This window comes from Homo sapiens, chromosome 1, assembly GCF_000001405.40.
Source record: "Homo sapiens chromosome 1, GRCh38.p14 Primary Assembly".
Classification (NCBI taxonomy): domain Eukaryota; kingdom Metazoa; phylum Chordata; class Mammalia; order Primates; family Hominidae; genus Homo; species Homo sapiens.
In genome coordinates, this window is record NC_000001.11 from 178,026,521 (window position 1) to 178,052,774 (window position 26,254).

A 26,254-nucleotide genomic window follows, 5' to 3' on the forward strand; every position below is an offset into this window, starting at 1 on the left:
AGAAAGTCTTCTCAAATTCAAATGAAAACCACCATTTATTGAGCATCTACTATGAATCAAGCAGTAAGGATACAAGATGGATCCTTTAGAGCCAAGAAAGCAAGATACAGCAGAATGATGGGGGAAATAAACAGGGGTCCAGAAATGTAAACAAGAGGTACCCAGTCTAAATCTAGAGGATCAGGAAAGACTTCCTAGAGGGTAAAACATGATTCAATAGAAAGATCTTGAGGTTAGAGAGACCTTAGTCCAACTTCTGGCTTTGCCACTCACTAGCTGTGTTGACCTAGGCAAAATACTTAGTAACAAAACAACATTTTGTTACTATTTGCCAGTTAACATTCTAAACATTTTATGTATATGAATAACTCATTTAATTGTAATAGCCCAATGAAATATACAGTATTATTATCCTTGTTTTATAGATGAAGAAACTGAGGCAAAAGAAGTTAAGTAACTTGTTGCCCAAGGAAGGTCGCACAGCAAATGGGAGACAGCACTGGGGTCCAAACCCACGTAATTCGTCTCCAGAGTCCATGCATTTAACCTCCATACTGCCTGCCAGCTTCTCAAGGTTTCAGTTACCTCATCAGTAAAGTAAGACATTTAAAAAATTATCAGAGGCCAGGCGCGGTGGCTCACGCCTGTAATCCCAGCACTTTGGGAGGCCCAGGTGGGCAGATCACAAGGTCGGGAATTCAAGACCAGCCTGGCCAATATGGTGAATCCCCCATCTCCACTAAAAATACAAAAATTAGCTGGGCATGGTGGCACACACCTGTAGTCCCAGCTACTCGGGAGGCTGAAGCAGGAGAATCACTTGAACCTGGGAAGTGGAGGCTGCAGTGAGCCAAGGTGTGCCACTGCACTCCAGCCTGGGCAACAGAGCGAGACTTCGTCTCAAAAAAAAAAAAAAAAATTCACGGGCTGGGCGCGGTGGCTCACGCCTGTAATCCCAGCACTTTGGGTGGCCAAGGTGGGCAGATCACAAGGTCAGGAGTTCAAGACCAGCCTGGCCAATATCGGGAAACCCCATCTCTACTAAAAATACAAAAATTAGCTGGGCATGGTGGTGTGTGTCTGTAGTCCCAGCTACTCGGAAGGCTGAGGCAGACTAATTGCTTGAACCTGGGAGTCAGAGGTTGCAGCGAGCCGAGATCTTACCACTGCACTCCAGCCTGGGCGACAGAGCAAGACTCCGTTTAAAAAAAAAAAAAAAAAATTATCTCCAGGCACAAGCTCAAGAGAAATAAAGGAAAAAGAATTAAATGGGACACTGTATACAAAGCACTTGGAAAACAAAGTGTTAGACAAACTGAAGCCATTGTTACACCATGCAATCATTTTTTCTATTTGAACCTCATAAGAACATTATTGAGGAGATATAATTACTTCCAGTTTCCAGACAGAGACATAGACTCAGAGAGGTAAAGCAATCAACCAGGGTCATCCAGGTTGCAGGTGTTAGAACAATTACTCAAGCCCACTGCTGCGTTACTCCAAAGCCCATGCTTTTCCACTCCATCACCCTAGGAGAAAGCCATACCTAAGGCCCGACACAGATGGCATAGATGGTGGTGAGCCATACTGTGGGGAAGTCTGGGGTTTGGAAGTCTCCAGAAAAGCTGCAAACACTCAAGCATTGCCTAGACATGCCTCACCATGGGGCAGCACCCACCAGCCCAAGCACTTTAGTCTCAAAGTGAATTTGCAATGAAATACTCCAAGAACACTGGTGCCCTTAAAAGATTCCAAACTTACTCATAACTATTTGAAACTGAATGCTTCCCTCAAATATTCCTTGGTGGAACCCTGAAATAGTTGCAGTTCAGTGAGGGCTATTAGCACACAGTGCCACAGTGGGCAGACACTGCTCTAGGGTCAGGCACCTGAATTGAATCCCGAGATTCTCACTAGGTCTCCATGGGACCTGCAGTGAACCATTTTCTCTCTTGGTGCCTCGCTTTCTTGATCTGTGAAATAGGGATAATAAACACTTACACTGCCCACATCCCAGGGGCTTTGTGAGGATCAAGGGTAAGATAATTGCCGCAGAGACACTTTGGAAGCAATATGAAATGCTGTGGATTCGAGGTGTAATCAAAATGACCTGTTCCACATAGGTGGCATGGTAACATTTATATTTTTGTTTGCTTTTGTTTAAAACCATTATTGAGGTTCAAGAAAATACAGCTTAGGTTAATTTTAATATATTAATTAAAGTGAGCTTTTCTATCTACTATTTATAACAATTTATAACTATTTAAAACAATTTGTACAATTTTATCTTCCTCGAAATGTTAAATAACCAATAGCTCTAGACAATAAAACCAATTATAGTCTCTCCCCCAGACAGGAGCTAAAAGCCCATCCTGTTAACATGAAATGTGTTCATATCACTTGAGGAGCCTCCTGGTATCTATGATTACTTTCAGAACTCACATGTCCTTCCCAAATGGAACTTAATAGGAGAAAGGAGAGATGTCCCCTAAAGGAATTCCAGACCAATCCAATTATTTCCAAACCTATATACCCAGCTGCCCTCTGGCTATCCAATTGCACGCTCCACAGGAATCTCACATTCAACACAGCCAAAACCCAACTCACTATTCCTGCCTGTGTTCTCAATCTCAATTAGATGGCAACTCCACGAGTTAACTTAGTTTGCTCCTTCCCACTCAATGTCTAATAATAACAGGATTCTTTTTAAAGAGATTCTTACTGACATGCCCCGCCCTCTAATAGGCACTGCACGTGTAATCTCAGTATTCCCACAACAACTCCATGGAGAGAGCATTCTTTTACAAGTGAGAAAACTGACGATATTAAGCTGGAGGCAGAGCTGGAATTTGAACCTACGTCAGGCTAACTTTAAAGTCCTTGTTCTTTCGACTAGAGCAGGATGCTCTCCAGGTACCAAATTATCTATTTTTTTTCCACTTCAGTATCTCTCAATGCATTGTTTCCACTGCCTTGGTTCAGGTAGCCTATCCTAATCCTGGCTCAGATTGCTCCAAGAGCCTGTCCTATTGCTTCCAGACTACCCTTGACCTTTCCCCTATCCCTCATCCCCACAGCTACCAGAGTGAACTTTTCCAAATGCAAAAATATCATGTCACTTCCCTACTTTAAATCCTCAACTCCTCTCAATAGCTTCCAATAAATGTTCAAATTCTTCAGCCCCACACAAGGGCCTCGTGATCTTATCTCTGCCCTCCTCTCTAGAGCCACCTTCCACCATTTCCCCCCAGGTCCCTGGCTCCAGAGATACTATTTGCAATTCTCTGAATGCATCATGCTAGTTCCTAGTTCTCTATCTTCTAATAAGTCCTCCCACCACTGAAATGGCCTTCACTTCCCTTCTTCCTCTATTCAACTGCTACCAATTCTTTAAAAGTCAGTTTAAATGTCCACCTTCTCCAAGAAATCCCCCTTTTCCAACACTCACAGCCTCAGAAAGATACTTCTGAAGAGACCTAAGTCTTTTTTCATTATTTTATTCATTCATTCATTTAAGAAATAGTTCTTGAGGGCCTACTATGTTCTAGGTACCATGCTAGGTGCAGGACTACAGGGATGAACCAAAGAGACACTGTCACTGCCTTTATGGGGATTACAATCCAGTAAGAGGGAGACAATAACCCGATAAGGACACAAGTAACCACACTCTGAGCTATGTATTATGAAAGAGAAGTAGAAGGTGCTATGAAATCATATATACAGAGGAGGGAGAGGGGCCTCACCTAGACTGAGGGACAGAGAATACTTCTCTGAAAAAATGACATTTGAGTTTAAATCTGAACGACAGCTCTGAGAATTACAGGTAGAGAAAATAGCATGTGCAGAAGGCATGAAGTGGGTCAGACCTTGCCAGGGTCTAGTAGCTGGAAGGATGAGTGATTTGCTTCTAGGCCCCCTCCCTAGTCTGTAAGCGAATAGATGGCAAGACCCTGCTCTGGGTTACTTTATATCCCCAGTGCCTTGCACATGATTTTTAATCAATGAATGAATATATTGTTTGAATAAATATATGTTTGAAAACTGGAGTTATGATTTTTGTAAGTGGTGACTCTAACATACAAATAACCTTGGCCTGAAGAACATTTGTTGCTACATCACTGCAAGGCCTGTGGCTCCAGCTGCTGCCGTCACTAAAACAACTCTGTGCCAAAGAAAGATGAATGCTACTTCAGAAACCTTCAGAAGTCAACCAGTAATATGATTTCACAAATATTTTAGAAACAGAACATTTTAAAGCAAGAATGTTAGAGGTCGTTTCATTCAAACCTTCATATACATCTGTTCTCCACCCTGTAAGCTTACGGATGTGACTTCTAGATTAGTGCTAATTGGGTTCAGTTTTGAAGACCTCCCAGGAAAAATATTCCTGAATCTCTCTAGGTAGCCTCTCCCTCATATCAGTGGCAACCCTTCCTTTGAGCTACCACTCCAATTTATTCTTCAGAAATTCTATCTTAAAATCCTTCTCATATTAGATACTGCCCAATGTTACAAGGTGATGAGCATGTAATGGCCACTGCTCAACTAAACCCACCTCTCTGAAGCAATTCTGAGTCTCACCTCTCTGAAAAGATCAAGAAGTAGTACGTATGCTCCAGGTAAAGAGTCAAACTTCAGCACCTTTTCTCCTGAAATGTCCCATCTGACACACTCAACAAGGCCTCACAGAAACAAATACCATAGGCCTCTAATAAACTCAGAGTGAAATGGGTTTAAATAAACCAACTATCTACACTTTAATACTTTTATGAGATCTCCAGGGCGGTCACATTTGAGAGAGGTATTTCTCCAATTCACAATGGCCAAGTTCACAGCCTATCATCTCCTCTCAGACAGAAGGATGTCCTCACAGTCAAAAAACCCCAATCTCAAGTGGCTACCTCCCTTTGGCCTTTCCTCAGCCAAAAGGAAGGGAAGGGAAGGGAAGAGGTGGGGCATGGCCTTGTCGGACACTTCTGATATCAAGAGAAGGGTACTTTCTAGCCTTCTGTCATCTACACAGTCCTTACCCAGGCTGGGTACGGGCCCAATGCTCAAGAGCAAAAATCGCAGTGCCATAAGTTATAGGGAGGACAGCAGCTTCTTATAGGGAGACCTTTTCTGGAATCTGCCACAGGTCCTAAAAAAGAGATAACAGTGACTTACAGATTGAGTGTATGTACCTAAGTCGTAAAGGCTGCTCAGTAAATATTAGGATTTGATTCAGTGACTGATTTGTAAAGGGAATCACTTGCCCATAACCAAGCCCAGTGGAAGTCAAAACTAAGCAAGCTGTAGCAGATTTCAGAACTTGAATGCATCAGACTTCAAAACCCCAAGGCTAGCATCTGGCTCAGAAAGGAGCCAACAGGTAGAGAATGGAACACAGATCACTGTACTGTGATGGGTGAATGGTCTGGTATGTCAGTTTTACCTCAGTAAAGCTGGTGGGGACAATTGTGTACTGTCCACCACCAGGGGGCACCATTCACACCCTGCACAACCATGCTAGACTACCCTGGCTGGCTCCATTCCCAGGGCTATCTCTTTCATAAGCTTTGTGTCTGGGAGAAGCCCATTACATCCAGCTCAATGCCCAAAACCAGCTTTTCTACTAAAACTACCTAGTCCAAATGAACAGCCAGCTCAAGGACTCAGAAAACAAAATGTTGTTCTTCATTAAAACACTCAATGCAAACAAAGCTCTGTGCAAAGTGTTGTCACATTAATGAAGAGAAGGAGTTTAACATTTGAAAAAATGAAGTGCTTAGCTGAGAAACAAGACATGACCAAATAAATACAAAGAAAAAGAGGGAGAGGGGAAGACAGGAATGAGGGATAGGTGGAAATTAAAGAAAAACAAAGGAGAAAAAACATCTTCAACCATTAATCTTGAGTGGTACAGATACCTTCTGGTCAGTGACGCATTCTTCAGCCATACAATTAAAGTTTCTTGTGCCAATAACTCTATCTCCCTAAAGGAAACATACCATTAAGGATATGTGCAAATGTATGACCTTGCATTCCTTTTCCTGAATTAATCAAAAAAGAAAAAAAAATGCACATCTCTGACTCCATAAGACACAGGTTGGTCTTAATTATTCAGAGTTACTGTTTAGTAAATAAAATAATAACTCTCTCAATACCACCACCAGGCTGTGAAGCCAATTTGAGTGAGCACATTTGAGACGAAGAGAGAGAGTAAGGGAAAGGTTGATTTGAATTAGAAGCCCACTCTTAATTTCACAAGAGAATCAAATTCTCTGTCCTCTTGGTTAAAGACTGAGGTGCCGCCTTTTATTCATAATGAAAAGTTTAATGAAGCCAGGAACTTCCAATTACTTCCTTTCCCCAGAAAGAATTTTGTTTCTTACCTTTCTAGTTAGGTTTCCCTTTGGTGTCTGCAGGCAAAAGCCAGTAGAAGCAAGACCCTTTGGCTACAAATGAAGTTAGCATATTTTTCATAGCTACATATACATTGATTCCCTAGACTTCAATTAATTTACCTCTTTAACTGTCCTGACATCTGTGCCTGTCTCCAATACTGTCCCAGAAAAGTCCATTCCTAAAAACATATTGTTTAAAGATTAGGTTATCTGTAAAACACAACACCATGGAGATGAGAAAACACTGATCGACAGGCTATTCCAACAGCTTTCGGAGCTGAGGATTTAGGTGCCCCTCCTCCTCTCCATATGCAGGTAGAGAGGTAAGGTGTTATACTCAAAGCACAGGAAAGTAAACATAAGATTTCACCATCACAACCTGGGAAGCTATAGCAGTCTCAATCTTACCATGACACAAATGAAAATTTCAAGAATGTGCAAAAGCACAGAGAATCACAGGTACACAGGTACTTTTGACCCTAATCACTGGGACCTCCTATAGCACCCCAGTGACAATGTTCATCCTATTTATTTATCTGTTTTCAAGTCTCTTCTGCTGGCCTGTAGGGCCCTCAAGGACATGAACTGTGTTTATTCAGACAGTACTTGGCTCAACTGGATGAACTGGTGCTGTCTGCCCTTTCCTTTTTCACCTCTGAAATTTCTGAATTAATGATGATGTTTCCTACTTGAGCTGCCAGGGGAATAACTCAATTGTGTATGACATCTTCCCCCCAACCAGTATTTCAGCAAATATAAACAGAAGGAAATGGTTCTAACTGTCGAGATACAATCAAACACCCTGAAAACAAAACACGGTAACTATTTGCAATCACTCTATCTTTCATGATATATATCTGTATAAAATGTACATGTACTATATACATGCTAAGCTATACTTACATCCCTTTAAATAAATTTCAACAACAAAAATCAGTCACTTGTCCACATGTGCAGGATCTAGGGGTAGACTGGGAACAAAAATCAGGCAGAGGGCTGCTAAGAAATCCACACTCTTCTTCTCTCTGATCCTTTGGCATTAGGTTTTGTTTGTTTGTTTGTTTGTTTTGTTTTTGAGACGGAGTCTCACTCTGTTGCCCAGGCTGGAGTGCAGTGGCATGATCTTGGCTCACTGCAACCTCCGCCTTCTAGGTTCAAGCAATTTTCCTGCCTCAGCCTCCCGAGTAGCTGGGACTACAGGCGCACACCGCCACGTCCGGCTAATTTTTGTATTTTGGTAGAGACAGGGTTTCACCATTGTTGCCCAGGCTGGTCTTGAACTCCTAGGCTCAGGCAATCCGCCCGCCTCAGCCTCACAAAGTGCTAGGATTACAGGCGTGAGCCACCATGCCCGGCCTGGCATTAGGTTTTATTGGGAATGTGTCTGTGAGGCTGAAAGTTTTAGCTGCAAACAGATGTCTGTGATCCTTCAGTGAAGAAACAAAACTGGGGCAATATCCAGCAAGGAAAGGGAATGAATGGCTAGGACCAATGATAATTCTGGTGAAAATTCATTTGTTCATTTCTTCATTTTTAGAGTATTTATTGAGCACCTACTAAGAGCCACGTACAATGCTAAGCTGGGGGATATAATGTTGATCAAGACAGGCATAGACTTTGCCCTCATGGGGCTCACAATCCAGTGATCCCAATACACAGTGAGATGGACACATATAACTGAAACATCACCGATGGCAGGCAGACACCAACAGAGCACTGCCTGAGCCCAGGGGCATGATTCTGAAAACTCCCTGTATCTTTTTTTCCTGAAGCAGTCACTTGGTCTCCCTATACTCACCAGGTGTGAAGGGAAGATGGGGCCTTTCCTGATATTGATCACGGCAGATCAAAATATCACCAAAGTTAACTCCACAGAAATGGACATCAACTCTGACCTACAAAAGAAATAGAGCAGCAAAGCAGAACAGTACACATCCACGGAGACAATGTTTATTCAATCATACCAAAATAGTTACTGAATGACAACAACATGCCAGGTACTAAAGTAACAGCTGGCACACACTCATGGGCAAGGCCTCTGCCTTCATGAAGCTAAAGTATAGGAGGGAAAACAGATATTAACCAGATAATAATGAAGATACATATATTAAGTTATAACTCCAGTACCAAGCATTAATGATAAAAAATATATGGTGCTATGAAAGCACATAATGGAAGGATTTGACCACTTAGGGAAGTCAGGAAAAGCATTCCTAAGTAAGCAACACTTTGAACTAACAACTGAGAGTTAACTATTCAAAATAGGAGGCAAAAGCCTTGGCACAGACAAAAGCAATGGCGTGTACAAAGACACTACAGTGGGGACACAAGAGAGTTTGAAGCCTTACTGAGGATTTTTTTTTTTTTAAGACGGACTCTCACACTGTTGCCCAGGGTGGAGTGCAGTGGCATGATCTCAGCTCACTGCAACCTCTGCCTCCCCGGTTCAAGCAATTCTCCTGCCTCAGCCTCCCAAATAGCTGGGATTACAGGCATGCACCACCACACCCAGCTAATTTTTTTTGTATTTTTAGTAGAGACAGGGTTTCACCATATTAGCCAGGCTGGTCTTGAACTCCTGACCTCGTGATCCGCCTGCCTCAGCCTCCCAAAGTGCTGGGATTACAGGCGTGAGCCACTGCATCCGGCCTCCTTACTGAAGATCTTAATTTTCATACTAGGAACAATGGGAAGTCATTAATGAGTTTTAAACAGAAGGGTAAAATGATCAGCTCTTTGGGGAATCTGGAATCCTTTACCCTAGTCCCAGATCCCCAGCCTCTATGTTTTGTGATAGTGCCATAGCTGAGGCAGACCTACAGCAGTGTAGCCAGTAGTTTCTCTAGGCCTTGTAAGCCCACGGTTCTCAAAATGTGGCCCCAGACCACCAGCATCAGTATCACCTGGCACAGGCCAGGCACAATGGCTCATGCCTGTAATCCCAGCACTTCAGGAGGCCAAAGCAGGAGAATCACTTGAGCCCAGGAGTTCGAGACTAGCCTGGGCAACCATCTCTACAAAAATAAAAATTAAAAAATTAGCCAGGAATGGTGGCATGTGCCTGTGGTCTCAGCTACTTGGGAGACTGGGGTGGGAGAACTGCTTGAGCCTGGGAGGTCAAGGTTGCAGTGAGCCATGATCATGCCACTGCACTCCAGCCTGAGTGACAGAGTGAGACCCTATCTCAAAAAAAAAAAAAAAAAAGAAAAGAAATTCAAATTATCAAGCCCCATCCCAGACCTACTGAATCAGAAGCTCTGAAGACAAAGCCTAGCGTTCTGTTTTAACAAGCCTCAAGACCAGGGGTTCCCAACCCCGGGGCCACAGACCGGTATGCTGTCAGGAATCCAGCTGCACAGCAAGAGGTGAGCAGACAAAGCAAGCATACCGCCCAGCTCTGCCTCCCGTCAGATCAGTGGCGGCATCAGATTCTCACAGAAGTGCGAACCGTATTGTGAACTACACAGGCAAGGGATCCAGGTTGCGCACTCCTTATGAGAATCTAATGCCTGAGGATCTGCGGTGGAACAGTTTCATTCCAAAACCATCCCCTCCAACCCCCATCAGTCCATGGAAAAACTGTCTTCCACAGAACTGGTGCCAAAAAGGTTGCGGACCGCTGTGCTAGACAACCACTGTCATAAACCAACACATCCCAACAGGGGTTGGAATTACTGGAAGAAATGAAAGCTGAGACACCAAAGGGATGATATTGATTTGTTTGTACAGAGGTGGCCATATTGGTGAGAAGAAATTTTTATCTACAAAATTCATTCATTCAACAATTTTTTAAGCCTCTGCCACATGCCAGGAACCATTTTAGACTTAAGGGATTTAGTAGTGAGTAAAACAAACATAGTCACAGCTCTCATGGGCTAATTCCTTACAATGCAATGTCTAGGACAAATAACAGAACAAAGGAGCCTAGCCCTCAGCCTGGACACATTCCATGCAGGACACATCAGTTATTGACAGGCATGCACAGGGCACACATGTGTTCTCCAGCCACTCCACCTAGATTTAAGGATGATTTGAGGATGAATGTCGTTCAGCATGTGAATCCCAGGAAGTAGATTGGCTGCCATCATGTGCTCATTCAAATAATCCGTGTTAGCCATGTTAGTTAACAGGCTCCATGCTGGTAACACTTCAGGGCTATGGCTGCCTTTCTCCCTCTCCCTGAAGGTCTCCAACACTGAGGCCCACTATCTGCTTCACGCTGTCTGAGGTTCTCATCTCCACACCAGATGACACTGTGTTACTAGAGTGGTCAATAGGCAAGGCCAAAATGATGTCCACATTTCAGTGGACCAGCTGCCCACATCCCTAAACGAACCCCATCCCAAATGTCTGCAATATACCAGAGGCGTATGTTCACATGGAAACACGGAGGTTACCGGGCTGGTTTCAGGGAGGCAGAGGCCGAATAATTCGATTCCGGCACTGAGGTGGAAGGAAGCAAAGGATGAGGTCCATGTACCTGTGTTAAACCAATAACTTGCACATACAAAGTCGTGTGCAAATCAGAATTCTCTGTTTCTAAGGCAACAGCTCTGAGCATTGAGAAAGAGGCCTATAGGCGTGTTTTGGGGGAACAATCTTCCTTTAGCACTTTAGACCTTGGAAAGGGCTTCAGCCCCCTAGCTATCCCAGGACGAAGTTGCCCTCCACTCTCTCGGTCGCCCCCTCGCTTCAGAACTGGGAACTTGATTCAAGAAGGAAGCCTGCGGGGAGTGTGTGGTGGCGGGGAGAAGGGGAGGGTAGAAGGGGATAAGCCAGCCCCCTACCTCGTGAGGCCCGACGGGGCGGGGGCCACCTCTTCAATGGTCAGGGGCTTCTTCAGCTCTGCGCAAATCGCAGCGCGGTAGTGCCGGCCGCTGCCCTGTCCGGCTCTCCTGCAACACAAAACAAGGGAAGGGTCAGTCGGGCAGCCCCGCCGGGAGCACCCTGGGACTGCCTTGCGGGGCTCAGGGAGGAGTCGGGGTTGCACCTGCAGACCCACGCCCGAGGGAGGCACTGCCTGCAGAGCACGGCCGCCAAGGCCAAGCCCAGCGAGGGGCGAGGGGGAGTGGCCAGAGCGCGGCAGGAAGAGCCGGACAGCGCCGCCCAGCCCCGGGAGAGCGGAAGGGCGGCCCGCGAGGCCTCCTGGCGACGCGCCCTGGCAGCCACGACCCAACCCCGGCGGGGCAGCTCCGGTCCAGTGCGCCCGGCTTCTACGGCCGCCGAGACCAAACGACCGCGCGAGCTCCCTGTTGGGCCTCTCTGGAGGTGGAGCCGGCTGGAAGAAAAAAAGAATAAAGGAAAACACCAGGAAACGGAATTCGATTACCCGAGATTAACCTTCTTTGGCATTTTTATAACAAATTTGGGAGACTTTTTTTTTTTGTAGTTTCAACTTTTATTTTAGATTCAGGGGCTACATGTGCAGATGTGACCTGGGTATATTGTGTGATGCTAAGGTTCAGGGTACGAATCATCTCGTCACTTCGGTGCTGAACATAGTACCTAATAGTTTTTCAACCCTTGCCCCCCTCAAAATTGGGAAACTTTTTAAACCACACTTGGCGACATTTAAATAGTGGTTCTTGGCTGGGTGGTTAACGCCTGTAATCCCAGCACTTTTGGAGGCCAAGGCGGGTGGTGGCCAGTGTCTGTGGTCTCAGCTACTCAGGAGGCTGAGGCGGGAGGGTCGCTTGAGTGCAGGAGTTGGAGGCTGCGGTGAACTATGATCGCACCACCCTGAGTGACAGAGTGAGACCTTCTCTATCGATTAGATAGATAGACAGACAGACAGATGATACATAGATAAAGGTTATTGGGTCCTCTGCCAGTGCAAAAAATCCTAAATGCACAGGTAAAGGCTTTATTTATGTATTTATTTTTGAGACAGTGTCCTTCTCTGTCACCCAGGCTGGAGTGTAGTGGCACTATTTCGGCTCACTGCAACCTCCGCCACTTAGGGTCAAACCATCCTCCCGCCTCAGCCTCCCATGTAGCTGGTACTATAGTTGTGCGCCACCATATCTGGCTAATTTTTGTATTTTTTTAAAGACGGGTTTCATCATTTTGCCCAGGCTGGTCTCGAACTCCTGGCCTCAAGCGCCCTGCCCGCCTCAGCCTTCCAAAGTGCTAGGATTACAAGTGTGAGCCACCACACCTGCCTAGGTGAAGGCTTTAAAGTCAGCATTTGAACACCTTGTTAGAGTTCAATTCTTGTTACTAATTTTCTCACATTTGCAGGACCATTTACACTAAATCCAAAGAGTTACTAATGATCCAATGTTGAATGAGCCTACACAAATCCAAATAATACTTCCAGTTAAAATCAGACCAAAACCCACCACGGGGAGAGTGGAAGAGCATTGGTTCTCATGTCCCCAATGCCAGTATTATGCTTGGCACATAGTAGATGCTCAATAAATGATTGTTGACTCGAAGACCAACACAGACCATTCACACTAGGCGAATAAGCACACTCTGGAAGAATTGAAAATATACAATATAATCTGTGAAATATTATAAAATTGGGTAGATCTCTATTGCAACAGTAACCAAATATTTATAGGCTAGCTATATAAGAGAAGCACACATTATGTTGGAGAGAATATTTCGTTTGACAGGTAACTTTTAAAGACAGCCTGATGTCTTTAAAAGACATCTGGCAGAAGAGTAGTCTCAGGTTCAAGCCCAGCTCTCCCACTTATTTGCGGGTTTAACATTGACATTTCTTGGCTCTCTGTCTCAGTGAACTCCTCTGTAAAATGAACACATCGGGCAGAATAATCCCTAAGTTCTAAATTCCTTCTATTTTTTGACAGAAACAGAATTCCCAGATAGAGCATGACCTGGAAGGCATGATCAGGAATGGAATAAAGGGAAAATGGAGAGCAAAAATGAAGTAGGAATGAACTTCTGAGATTATAGCCTAAAGGCTCTGGGGAAAAGGAGTACAAGAGCAAGGTCCTCACCTTGGATATACAACAGAGCTTACTGTTATTTTAATAGCACTCACAAGGAATTTGAGAAGTCATTTTAGTCCTCTCCCCCTTCCCACAAGAGGAAGACTAGAACAATGACTAGAAGCTGAGAAGTTGAAAAAACTTGTGTTTCCAATGAGACAATAAAGCACTTTGTGAACTGTTAATCATTAGACATATAAAATCAAACCAGGAATAATGGAGAAATACTAATGTTATCATCAAAGTGAACATTCTGGTTGCCAAATAACAGTGAGCAACTGGGTGCAGTGGCTCACACCTGTAATCTCAGCACTTTGAGAGGCCGAGGGAGGTGGATCGCTTGAGGCCAGGAGCTCACAGCCTGGGCAAGATAATTGTCAGGCCTCTGAGCCCAAGCTAAGCCATCATATCCCCTGTGACCTGCACATATACATTCAGATGGCCTGAAGCAACTGAAGATTCACAAAAGAAGTGAAAATAGCCTTAACTGATGACATTCCACCATTGTGATTTGTTTCTGCCCCACCCTAACTGATCAATGTACTTTGTGATCTCCCCCACCCTTAAGAAGGTTCTTTGTAATTCTCCCCACCCTTGAGAATGTACTTTGTGAGATCCACCCCCTGCCCGCAAAACATTGCTCCTAACTCCACCGCCTACCCCAAAACCTATAAGAACTAATGATAATCCCACCACCCTTTGCTGACTCTCTTTTCGGACTTAGCCCGCCTGCACCCAGGTGAAATAAACAGCCTTGTTGCTCACACAAAGCCTATTTGGTGGTCTCCTCACATGGACGTGCATGACATTGGGTGCTGAAACCCGGGACAGGAGGACTCCTTCGGGAGACCAGTCCCCTTCCCCTGTCCTCGCCCTCACTCCTTGAGGAGATCCACCTGCAACCTCGGGTCCTCAGACCAACCAGCCCAAGGAACATCTCATGAATTTCAAATTGGGTAAGCGGTCTTTTCACTCTCTTCTCCAGCCTCTCTTGCTACCCTTCAATCTCCCTCTCTCGCTACCCTTCAATCTCCCAGTCCTTCCAACTCCAGTTCTTTTTCCTCTCTAGTAGAGACAAAGGAAACACATTTTATCTGTAGACTCCAGCGCCAGTCACGGACTTGGGAAGACAGTCTTCCCTTGGTGTTTAATCACTGCGGGGACGCCTGCCTGATTATTCACTCACACTCCATTGGTGTCTGATCACCGCGGGGACGCCTGCCTTGGTCATTCACCCACATTCCTTTGGTGGCAAGTCAATTGCGGGGACACCTGCTTTGGCTGCTCACCTACTCCCTTCTCCATGTCTCTACCTTTCTCTTTAAACTTACCTCCATTACTATGGGCAACCTTCCACCCTCCATTCCCCCATCTTCTCCCTTAGCCTGTGTTCTCAAAAACTTAAAACCTCTTCAACTCTCGCCTGACCTAAAACCTAAGCGTCTTATTTTCTTCTGCAACACCGCTTGGCCCCAATACAAACTCAATAATGGTTCTAAATAGCTAGAAAATGACACTTTTGATTTCTCCATTTTACAAGACCTGGATGATTTTTGTTGAAAAATGGGCAAATGGGTCTGATGTGCCTGACATCCAGGCATTGTTTCATACACTGGTCCCTCCTTAGTCTCTGCTCCCAATGCGACTCATCCCAAATCTTTCTTCTTTCTCTGCGGTCTGTTCCTTCAGTCTCCACCCCAAGCTCTGAGTCCTTTGAATGCTCCTTTTCTACAGACCCATCTAACCTCTCCCCTCCTACCCAGGCTGCTCCTCACCAGGCTGAGCCAGGTCCCAATTCTTCCTCAGCCTCCGCTCCCCGATCCTATAATCCTTTTATCACCTCCCCTCCTCACACCCGGTCCAGTTTACAGTTACATTCCTCCACTAGCCCTCCCCCACCTGCCCAACAATTTCCTCTTAAAGAGGTGGCTGGAGCTGAAGGCATAGCCAAGGTAAATGCTCCTTTTTCCGACCTCTCCCAAATCAGGGTTTAGGCTCTTTTTCATCAAATATAAAAACTCAACCCAGTTCATGGCCCGTTTGGCAACAACCCTTAGACGGTTTACTGCCCTAGACCCAGAAGGGCCAGAAGGCCGTCTTATTCTCAATATGCATTTTATTACCCAATCCACTGGCGACATTAGAAAAAGCTCCAAAAATTAGATTCTGGCCCTCAAACCCCACAACGGGACCTAATTAACCTCACCTTCAAGGTGTACAATAATAGAGTAGAGGCAGCCAAGTAGCAACGTATTTCTGAGTTGCAATTCTTTGCCTCCACCGTGAGACAAACCCCAGCCACATCTCCAGCACACAAGAACTCCAAATGCCTAAACTGCGGCGGCCAGGCATTCCTCCAGGACTGCCTGCCCCAGGATCTTGCTTCAAGTGCCAGAAATCTGGCCACCGGGCCAAGGAATGCCTGCAGCCTGGGATTCCTCCTATGCCATGTCCCATCTGTGCGGGACCCCACTGGAAATTGGACTGTCCAACTTACCCGGCAGCCACTCCCAGAGCCCCTGGAACTCTGGCCCAAGGCTCTCTGACTGATTCCTTCCCAGATCTTCTTGACTTAGCAGCTGAAGACTGATGCTGCCCGATTGCCTTGGAAGCCCCCCTAGACCATCACAGATGCCGAGCTTCGGGAACTCTCACAGTGGAGGGTAAGTCCGACCCCTTCTTAGTCAATATGGAGGCTACTCACTCCACATTACCTTCTTTTCAAGGGCCTATTTCCTTTGCCTCCATAACTGTTGTGGGTATTGATGGCCAGGCTTCTAGACCCCTTAAAACTCCCCAACTCTGATGCCAACTTGGACAACATTCTTTTATGCGCTCCTTTTTAGTTATCCCCACCTGCCCAGCTCCCTTATTAGGCTGAGACATTTTAACTAAATTATCTGCTTCCCTGACTATTCCTAGCCTATAGCCTCACCTCATTTACACCCTTTTCCCCAGTTCAACACCTCCTTCGCCTCCTCCCCTTGTACCTCCCCACCTTAATCCACAAGTATAGGGCACCTCTACTCCCTCCTTGGCGTCCAATTATGCACCTCTTACCATCCCATTAAAACCTAATCACCCTTACCCCACTCAATGCCAATATCCCATCCCACAGCATGCTTTAAAAGGATTAAAGCCTGTTATCACTTGCCTGTTACAGCACGGCCTTTTACAGCCTATAAACTCTCCTTACAATTCCTCCATTTTACTTGTCCAAAAACCAGACAAGCCTTACAGGTTAGTTCAGGATTTGTGCCTTATCAACCAAATTGTCTTGCCTATCCAACCTGTGATGCCAAAGCCATATACTCTCCTATCCTCAATACCTCCCTCCACAACCCATTATTCTGTTCTGGATCTCAAACATGTTGTCTTTACTATTTCTTTGCACCCTTCATCCCAGCCTCTCTTCACTTTTACTTGAACTGACCCTGACACCCATTAGGCTAAGCAAATTACCTGGGCTATACTGCCACAAGGCTTCACAGACAGCTCCCATTACTTCAGTCAAGCCGAAATTTCTTCCTCATCCGTTACCTATCTCGGCATAATTCTTCATGAAAACACACGTGCTCTCCCTGCTGATTGTGTCTGGCTAATCTCCCAAACCCAACCCCTTCTACAAAACAACAACTCCTTTCCTTCCTATGCATGGTTAGGTACTTCCGCCTTTGGATACCTAGTTTTACCATCCTGACTAAACCATTATATAAACTCACAAAAGCAAACCTAGCTGAATCCATAGATCCTAAATCCTTTCCCCACTCCTCTTTCCATTCCTTAAAAACAGCCCTAGAAGCTGCTCCCACACTAGCTCTCCCTAACTCATCCCGACCCTTTTCATTACACACAGCCAAACTACAGGGCTGTGCAGTCAAAATTCTTACACAAGAGCTGGGACCACACCCTGTAGCCTTTCCATCCAAACAACTTGACCTTACCTTTTTAGGCTAGCCTCTACATTATTCCTGATACCACACCTGACCCCCATGGCTGTATCTCTCTAATCCACCTGACATTCACTCCACTTCCCCATATTTCCTTCTTTCCTGGTCCTCACCCTGATCACACTTGGTTTATTGATGGCAGTTCCACCAGGCCTAATTGCCACTCACCAGCAAAAGCAGGCTATGCTATAGTATCTTCCACATCTATCATTGAGGCTACTGCTCTGCCTCCCTCCACTACCTCTCAGCAAGCCGAACTCATTGCCTTAACTCGAGCCCTCACTCTTGCAAAGGAATTACGTGTCAATATTTATACTGACTCCAAATATGCCTTCCATATCCTGCACCACCATGCTGTTATATGGGCTGAAAGAGGTTTCCTTACTACGCAAGGGTCCTCCATCATTAATGCCTCTTTAATGAAAACTCTTCTCAAGGCTGCCTTACTTCCAAAGAAAGCTGGAGTCATACACTGTAAGGGCCACCAAAAGGCATCAGATCCCATTGCTAGGGGCAGCACTTATGCTGATAAGGTAGCTAAAGAAGCAGTTAGCATTCCAACTTCTATCCCTCACGGCAGTTTTTCTCCTTCTCATCTGGTCACTCCCACCTACTCTCCCACTGAAACTTCCACCTATCAATCTCTTCCCACACAAGCAAATGCTTCTTGGACCAAGGAAAATATCTCCTTCTTGCCTCACAGGCCCATTCTATTCTATCGTCATTTCATAACCTCTTCCATGTAGGTTACAAGCCGCTAGCCCACCTCTTAGAACCTCTCATTTCCTTTCCATTGTGGAAATCTATCCTTAAGGAAATCACTTCTCAGTGTTCCATCTGCTATTCTACTACCCCTCAGGGATTGTTCAGGCCCCCTCCCTTCCCTACACATCAAGCTCGGGGATTTGCCACCCCCAGGACTGGCAAATTGACTTTATTCACATGCCCAAGTCAGGAAACTAAAATACCTCTTGATCTGGGTAGACACTTTTGCTGGATGTGTAGAGGCCTTTCCCACTGGGTCTGAGAAGGCCACCATGGTCATTTCTTCCCTTTTGTCAGACATAATTCCTCAGTTTGGCTTTCTCACCTCTATACAGTCCAATAACAGACCAGCCTTTACTAGTCAAATACCCAAGCAATTTCTCAGGCTCTTGGTATTCAGTGGAACTTTCATACCCCTGACCGTCCTCAATCTTCAGGAAAGATAAAACAGACTAATGGTCTTTTCCCAAAAACTCACCAACCAAGTAAGTAATTACACTGGACCCCCTTGGGCACTCTCTAATTGGATGTCCTGGGTCCTCCCAATTCTTAGTCCTTTAATACCTATTTTTCTCCTTCTTTTATTCAGACCTTATATCTTCTGTTTAATTTCTCAATTCATCCAAAACTGTATCCAGGCCATCGCCAATCATTCTATATGAAAAATGCTCCTTCTAATCACCCACAATATCACCCCTGACCACAAAATCTTCCTTCAACTTAATCTCTCCCACTCTAGGTTCCCACACCACCCCTAATCCCGCTCGAAGCAGCCCTGAGAAACATCGCCCATTATCTCTCCATACCACCCCCAAAATTTTTCACCTCTCCAACACTTAACCACTATTTTGTTTTGCTTTTCTTATTAACATAAGAAGACAGGAATGTCAGGCCTCTGAGCCCAAGCTAAGCCATCATATCCCCTGTGACCTGCACGTATACATCCAGATGGCCTGAAGCAACTGAAGATCCACAAAAGAAATGAAAATAGCCTTAACTGATGACATTCCACCATTGTGATTTGTTTCTGCCCCACCCTAACTGATCAATGTACTTTGTAATCTCCCCAACCCTTAAGAAGGTTCTTTGTAATCTCCCCCACATCTTAAGAAGGTTCTTTGTAATTCTCCCCACCCTTGAGAATGCACTTTGTGAGATCCACTCCCTGCCCACAAAACATTGCTCCTAACTCCACCGCCTACCCCAAAACCTATAAGAACTAATGATAATCCCACCACCCTTTGCTGACTCTCTTTTCGGACTCAGCCCACCTGCACCCGGGTGAAATAAACAGCCTTGTTGCTCACACAAAGCCTGTTTGGTGGTCTCTTCACACAGACGTGCATGACAATGAGACCCCATCTCTACCAAAAATACAAAAACTTAGCCAACTGTGGTAGTATACACCTGTAGTCCCAACTACTTGGGAGGCTGAGGCATGAGAATGGCTTGAACCCGGGAGGTGGAGATTGCAGTGAGCTGGAATTGCTCCACTGCACTCCAGCCTGGGTAACAGAGTGAGACCTGGTCTAAAAAAAAAAAAAAAAAAAAAAAAAAAAAAAAAAAAAAAAAAAAAAAGCAGTGAGCAACAAGAAACTGCAAGTTTATTAAGTATGAAACCAGGATTTATTGTTCTGAGGATGAAATGAGTTATTACATATGGAAAGTGTTTTGTAAAATATTAACTATTTATACAAGGTATAAAGCAAGCAGCTCTTAATTGAACTCCTTGAAAGTAGCAATCATTTCTTAATCTCCTTTATGTTTGCAGTACTTTTCACAATACCTGACACAGCCATTTAATACTGGTTTATCTAATGAATTGTTCAATAAACATTGAGTTATCTGTTATCAATTTTCTAGATAACAAAAAAATCTTTAAGAATCAAACTTTTTATTTTTAATTGTTTTATGGAAAATTTTTCAATTATGATTTTCATAATATCCTTGTCATTCTCAGATAATATGAAAATATTTGGGATGAGAATATTTAGAGAAATCAAATAGTTTGGAGAAAACGGTCAAGACTGCATTCTGCATTTATAACAATATCTAAAGAAAATAGTAAAAGCCCCATTAAGAAGAATCTTGGAGGGAGATGAAAGTATTTTCAGTAATTGAGGTGATTTTAAGCACATATGCAAAATAACCTTCACATTTCCAAAGAGAATCAAAGATGTGTGACAAGGCATTTAATAGTAGTTGCTATAGTAGCAAAAGAAATATTTGGTCTATCCATCAAAGTGCTGCCACCACACCCTACTATCTAGTTTTGGTGATTGTTTCTGATTATTTTATTTTATTTGAGGGTAAGATGGAGAGGGGACAAGAAGAATAAAATTTGAGTCCTGGGAGAGAATAAGACCAAGCAGCTATATCTGAACCAATCTGTCCTCTGGGAAAAAAAAGAAAGAAAGTATAGATAGCTGCCCTGCAAACCAGCTTGAGGGCTCATTAAGGAAGTAAAAGAGTAACAGATGACTCTTCCTTCTGGTACAGCTCACATGAAGAGATAATATTTAACATCCAGAAGCTGGTGGAGGGCTGAGGGTGGGGAAGCAAGCCAAAGCTGAATACACAAACAGCTATGTTTTCACAGAATAATAGACAAACAATATATAAACAATGTAAGCATCATGCAGGAATATGCAGAAAATGCAAAAGTATCCTCCACAGTTAAAATGCTTTACCCGATAGATTGTCAGTCCCTTGAGAATAGAGACTGTCTCAGTAGCCTCAGAGCCTACCACCACTCCTGGAACATGGCAGGTACTCAGTAAATGGTAGGAAGGTGTGAGGAGCTGCCAGCCACAACATAACTATCCAAAGCCCAAATCCAGACAATTTTAAGGGTTACTGCACCCACTTCTTTAGCTAAGTATACAAATGCTGAACATAATCTCATCTTCTTTATGACTAGTTCAGTATTGCCATTTTAGATATAAATTCTCTTCTGCCACAATGATGTCCTTCAAAATTCCTAAGGTGGGTAGGAGTAGTTTGCTTTTTCACTGCATTCCCCTAGGAATGCTCTTTCTGATTGTTGCAATTGGTGTTAACTTTTATCAACTTCAGAAATGTACTTTGGCCATTAATATATAATGTATATTGACCTACTCTATTCCAGGAAATGTATAAGATTTCTACATAAGTTATTTGCTCCAAAAGTCATGGAATCATAGAATTTCGGAGCTGGAATGGGTCTTCGAGATAATCTAATCAAACCACTTTATTTACAAGTAAAAAAACCTGAGGTTAGGGGAGAGACTGGCCCAAGGTCACACTGCTGATTAGTGACAGGAGTAGCATTGGGATCTGGCTTTCCTGACTTCCTGTTCACTGCTCTTAATACCATGCTGTTTAGATCTCACTCCTCAGCAGTATCCATAATAGTGATAATATTTCACATTTTTATAGTGCTTCATAGGTTTCAAATCACTGTCACCCAAATTTGTTCACCCTGCTAACCATGAGAGTAATAATAATCATCACAAGTAGCACTGGCTGGGCATGGTGACTCACACCTATAATTCCAGCACTTTGGGAGGCCATGGCAGGAGGATCACTTGAGGCCAGGAGTTTGAGACCAGCCTGGGCAACATAGTGAGACCCCCCACCTCTATGAAAAAAAAAAATAGAAAAATTAGTGCCAGACATGGTGACATGCGCCTGAAGTCCCAGCTACTAGAAAGGCTGAGGAGAGGGAATCGCTTGAGCCTAGGAGTTCAAGGTTGCAGTGAGCCATGATTGTGCCCCTGCACTCCAGCCTGGGCAACAGAGAGAGACCCTGTCTCTAACAAAAATAAACAAGTAGGTAAATATGTAAATAAACAGTAGCACTTACTGGTTTTTTCTAACAAACCAGTCACTAAGTGCTTTTGCATGATTTCATTAATCCACCCAATAGTTCTATGACTAAGATACTATTATTTTTGCTCTTTTATAGATCAGGAATGTAGGCTTAAGGAAGCCAAGTAACTTGCCCAAGGCCACATAGCTGGGAAATGGAGCAGTTTAGAATCATCCTAATTGCCTGGTACCAGAGCCCCTACAACAGTATCCGGCTGCCTACTGTGCTTTCCCTGACAAATACCCCCAAGAGCAGACAAAGAAGGTATTATACAATATATTTTAAAGCAATGCTTTGCTTGCAGTTTTAAGCCTCATTTTATAGGAATTTTACAGTCATTCAAGCCTAGAAAATAGATTAATTCCCTGGAGGAGAGAATACAGAAAGCAGCCTCCAGGGATGCCTGTAGTTAAGGGACAAGAGCAGGAAGAGAAGCTAACACATAATTAGGGGTTGCTGCACTATTCCATATAGCCATAAGCTTGAAAATACACTTATTTCATTTAAATGTAAAGTATATTGTGCAAGATTAAAACTGTGATTATGTAAAGTTGTTTTCATATTCACACACTCACAAATATGATTTCAATGAAACAATGTGCTGACAGGGTTGCCTGGTTACCAGTCATCACTTAAGCAGGTACCAGCAGGCATTTGGGCTGCATTCCTGGCACCCAGATGGGCCAACTTGGAAGCAGTAGTGACCTGGGCAATGGCTGTTGTGGCCCTTAAAACCAACCACCAGGATTAGATGCAGGGAACTGTCTTCCACCTTGAACCATCATTATTAATTCAGTTGACAAATTCCCAAGCATTCTGGCAACCTTATGAAGCTCTTCCATCTCCCACCTCCCCCAAAGGGAACAAATTATTCCCTTCCATATGTCACTCCAAAGAACTTTGTACCAACCTGTAGTAGCTTGCTAATCTCAATGTTCAGGTGGTATTTATCTATTTACCCCCACAGCTAAGCTGTGAGCATTGTAGATAATTCCAACGACAGCATAGCGAAGTGAAAATTTGGGCTTTGGATTAAGATGTAACTATGTTTAATTCCTGGGTTAGCTACTTACTCACTGTGACCTTGTTAAAGTTATCTAACTTCTCTGAGCCTCCATTTCCACATCTTTAAAAGAGGCATAATAAGCCAGGCACAGTGGCTCATGCCTGTCATCCCAGCACTTTGGGAGGCCAAGGCAGGTGGATCACGTGGTCAGGAGTTCAAGACCAGCCCTACCAACATGGTAAAACCCCATCTCTACTAAAAATAAAAAATTAGCTGGGCATGGTAGTGCGTGCCTGTAAACCCAACTACTTAGGAGGCTGAGGCAGGATAATTGCTTGAACCCAGGAGGCAGAGGTTGCAGTGAGCTGATAACAGGCCACTGCACTCCAGCCTGGGTGACAGTGAGACTCCATCTCACAAAAAAAAAAAAAAAAAAAAAAAAAAAAAGAGGCATAATAGGCTGGGAGCCGTGGCTCACGCCTGTAATCCCAGCACTTTGGGAGGCCGAGGCAGGCGGATCGCCTGAGGTCGGGAGTTCGAGACCAGCTTGACCAACATGGAGAAAACCTGTCTCTACTAAAAATACAAAATTAGCCGGGTGTGGTAGTGCATGCCTGTAGTCCCAGCTACTCGGGAGGCTGAGGCAGGAGAATCACTTGAACCCAGGAGGCAGAAGTTGCAGTGAGCCGAGATCATGCCATTGTACTCCAGCCTGGACAACAAGAGCAAAACTCCATTTCAAAAAAAAAAAAAAGAAGCATAATAATTCCCACCTCAGGTAGTGGTCGTGAAAATTAAACAAAGTAAGCACGTTTGTGGCAGCACTCAATCAATAGCAGCTTTTGTTATGAAGACACTGTCCCTGCCCTTGAGCCTCTCACTGTTTAGTGGAGCGAAGTTCGCATAAGGAGGCATCTCAAATGCCTGTGATATGTTCTGTGATGAAGGGCTGCAAGAGGCGATATGGGAGCAGAGAGGAAGGTCAGCCTACCCCAGCCAGAGGACATCATTTCAGGAAAGCCTCAGAGAAGAAGAATGAAGAAGAATTACCCAGCCAGAGGGCACAGCTAAATGTGTCCCAGGCAAAGGAGTACACACGACAGAACATGGCATGGTCAAGGAATTGCAAGTGGTCATTTACAATTGAAGTTACGGTTTGAGCTGGAGAATGATGAGGGATGAGGCTGTTGTAGAAAGAGTATAGGTTTTGGAATTCCAGCAGTCAGGAATTCTAGCTTCTTCACTCTCCAATCACATATCCTCAACCAAGTGACTTCTTTCTGAGTCTCCGTTTCCCCATTTGTAAAATGATGGCGATTATATGAACTAATGTATGTAAAGTGCCTGGCACAGAATATACATTGTTTAAATGATAACAAGTATTCTTTAACTGTGTTTATCTAGGATACATTTGGTGGTTGATCCATAGTATACACTCATTTTTATTGAATCAGTTGAAAGAGGAATGGGTGAATCATTCACTTACTGCATATTTTTTAGACACTCTCCATGTGCCAGTCACTGTTCTAGGCACTAGGGACACAGCAGCTAACAAAGCAGACAAAAGTCTCTGCCGCGGTGGGACTTACAGTTCGTGAATTGAGATGGGAAAGGGGACGCAGGTGTCCGTGAGGGGACATTGTACATCATGGTCCCTGTGTCTTTATGGTTCTCTGATGAAAAGCTAATAACCTGACAAGGCAAAGTTCCCAAGAGGTCTGGATGTTAATTCCACTTCATAATAACAATGAGGAGGCTCTCGTCCTCCCCTTAATCGCTTCTCACTTATCAACCCCCAGCTTCCTGTTGTGATCCGGGGGAACTGGTGAGTTGTGTTGTTTGTCAGGAAGAAATGTCAAGGAGAGCTCAAGTAATTATTGGGCTCTAATGTTTAAAGCCATGGCAAGAGGAAATAGGAAAGCAGTGCATACAAAAAGGCTATGGAGAGGGAGATTTGCCTATCTCAGCAGCCAAGTGATAAGTGAGCTCAAATGCCTTGTGATGATGCATGGTTTCATTTCAACAGCAGGATAATCATACTTCACATGTGTGTATCTCTTTAGAGAAAGGGTTCACCAAGGGGTTCACCAAGGGGATCTCATTTAATCCTCAGAACGACTCTGTGAAGTAGGCATTCACCCCATTTAATCCCATCTCTGTCCTGTAGGTTAACTCCTCCCTCTCCACTGTGGCATATAATGATGCCCACGTTTCAGTCATAAACAAAAACAACGAAAGGCTTCCTTCATTCCTTATCTCTGTCTAGCCATCATCTCCTCCTCACAGCCAAGTCCACCAAACATTAAGAATATGCTTGTTAGCTCCATTGGTCTCCTTCCATTTACTCATCCTATTGTGATCAACCCCCAAAGGCCAGTGAAATTGTTGTGACTTCCCATATGCTCAGTCCAAGGGATGCTCATCGGTCCCTATGATAGTTGGCTTCTTTAGCTTTCAAAGCCATTTTCTGCTCTTTCTCCTCCTGCTTCCCAGCCTGCTCCTTCTCAGTCTTGTCCTCAGCTTCTTCTCCTCTGCCACACTTTGATGCTGTCTATCGGGGCTCTTTCTACCACCCTTCTCTGTGTGTGTGTGTGTGTGTGTGTGTGTGTGTGTGTGTGTGTGTGTCTCCATCTCTCCAAGTGAACAGGATTTCTTTAAAATCCTGCTCAGGCTTCCGATTTGTGAAACCCTCCCTAGCAGCAGTCCGACCACCTCTCACCTTCTCACTCTGCTGCCCCACCTTGAAAACATGTGCATTCCCCTTCCTCTTGCTTTCACAGTGGCTCTTTCCTAGCTTCAGTAAAGCTCACATCACATTGTGCTGTGACTGTTTGTGTGTATGCCTTCCCCAGGAGATTATGAAAAACTTCAGGGTCAAGACTGTGACTTCGCTATTTGTGTATTCTCAGTGCCTAGCTAGGTACCTGGCATATGGTAGACACAGATTTACAAATGTTTGGTGAATTCTTAAGAGTCAAACCAAGAGCAATCAATAAAAAGTCAGGGCCTAAACCCCAGTCTTCTGACTTTAAAGGTGGTAGTCTCTCTACCTCAGCAGAGAAAAAAAGCAGTGTTGCAAGTATTTAATTATAAGTGCCTCAACCCCAGTGAATTCTATAAATTAAGGAGCAAGATGGAGGGAAGGATTTCCTTTTCCCCACAAATATTGCCCCAGCTACCAGGTGTGGAAGGATTGTTTGGCATCTGTAGCCTTCCTTTTGCATACCCCAGGATAAAAGAAGAAAAAAAAAAAACACCCACCTCCCCTCTCTTCCTCCCAGTGGACAGCCGTCACCATCACTTCCTGTTAAGCTGGGAGGCAGGAAATATGTCCTAGC

General features: G+C 44.3%; 1 protein-coding gene and 1 pseudogene across 11 annotated transcripts in view, besides 1 other annotated feature; both read right to left on the reverse strand.

The window, feature by feature from the left end:
• CRYZL2P-SEC16B (CRYZL2P-SEC16B readthrough) overlaps positions 1-11,456 on the reverse strand; it is a 109,189-nt gene extending 97,733 nt beyond the window's left edge. For 2 of the 3 annotated variants that reach the window (NM_001356506.2, NM_001356505.2), the window contains exons 1-6: positions 11,377-11,456; positions 11,174-11,281; positions 8,185-8,281; positions 6,507-6,565; positions 5,910-5,975; positions 5,031-5,140 (exon numbers count right to left, since the gene is read on the reverse strand). The gene's annotated coding sequence lies outside the window, so the exon portion shown is untranslated. The remainder of the gene's footprint in view (positions 1-5,030; positions 5,141-5,909; positions 5,976-6,506; positions 6,566-8,184; positions 8,282-11,173; positions 11,282-11,376) is intronic. The other variant, NR_151492.2, reaches the window with a different exon arrangement.
• Positions 1-11,487, reverse strand: part of CRYZL2P (crystallin zeta like 2, pseudogene) — a 31,872-nt pseudogene extending 20,385 nt beyond the window's left edge. For 3 of the 8 annotated variants that reach the window (NR_151485.1, NR_037167.1, NR_151487.1), the window contains exons 1-6: positions 11,377-11,487; positions 11,174-11,281; positions 8,185-8,281; positions 6,507-6,565; positions 5,910-5,975; positions 5,031-5,140 (exon numbers count right to left, since the gene is read on the reverse strand). The product of NR_151485.1 is annotated as a crystallin zeta like 2, pseudogene, transcript variant 4 (transcript). The remainder of the gene's footprint in view (positions 1-5,030; positions 5,141-5,909; positions 5,976-6,506; positions 6,566-8,184; positions 8,282-11,173; positions 11,282-11,376) is intronic. The other 5 variants (NR_151486.1, NR_151488.1, NR_151484.1 and 2 more) reach the window with 3 other exon arrangements.
• Positions 23,399-23,556: a silencer, noted in NCBI's record as "fragment chr1:178019054-178019211 (GRCh37/hg19 assembly coordinates)". NCBI's record gives its function as "represses an EF-1alpha promoter that drives an FKBP-Casp9 reporter gene in an ReSE screen in phorbol 12-myristate 13-acetate-treated (for megakaryocytic differentiation) K562 erythroleukemia cells {active_cell/tissue: K562(+PMA)}" and the evidence as "EXISTENCE:reporter gene assay evidence [ECO:0000049][PMID:32094911]".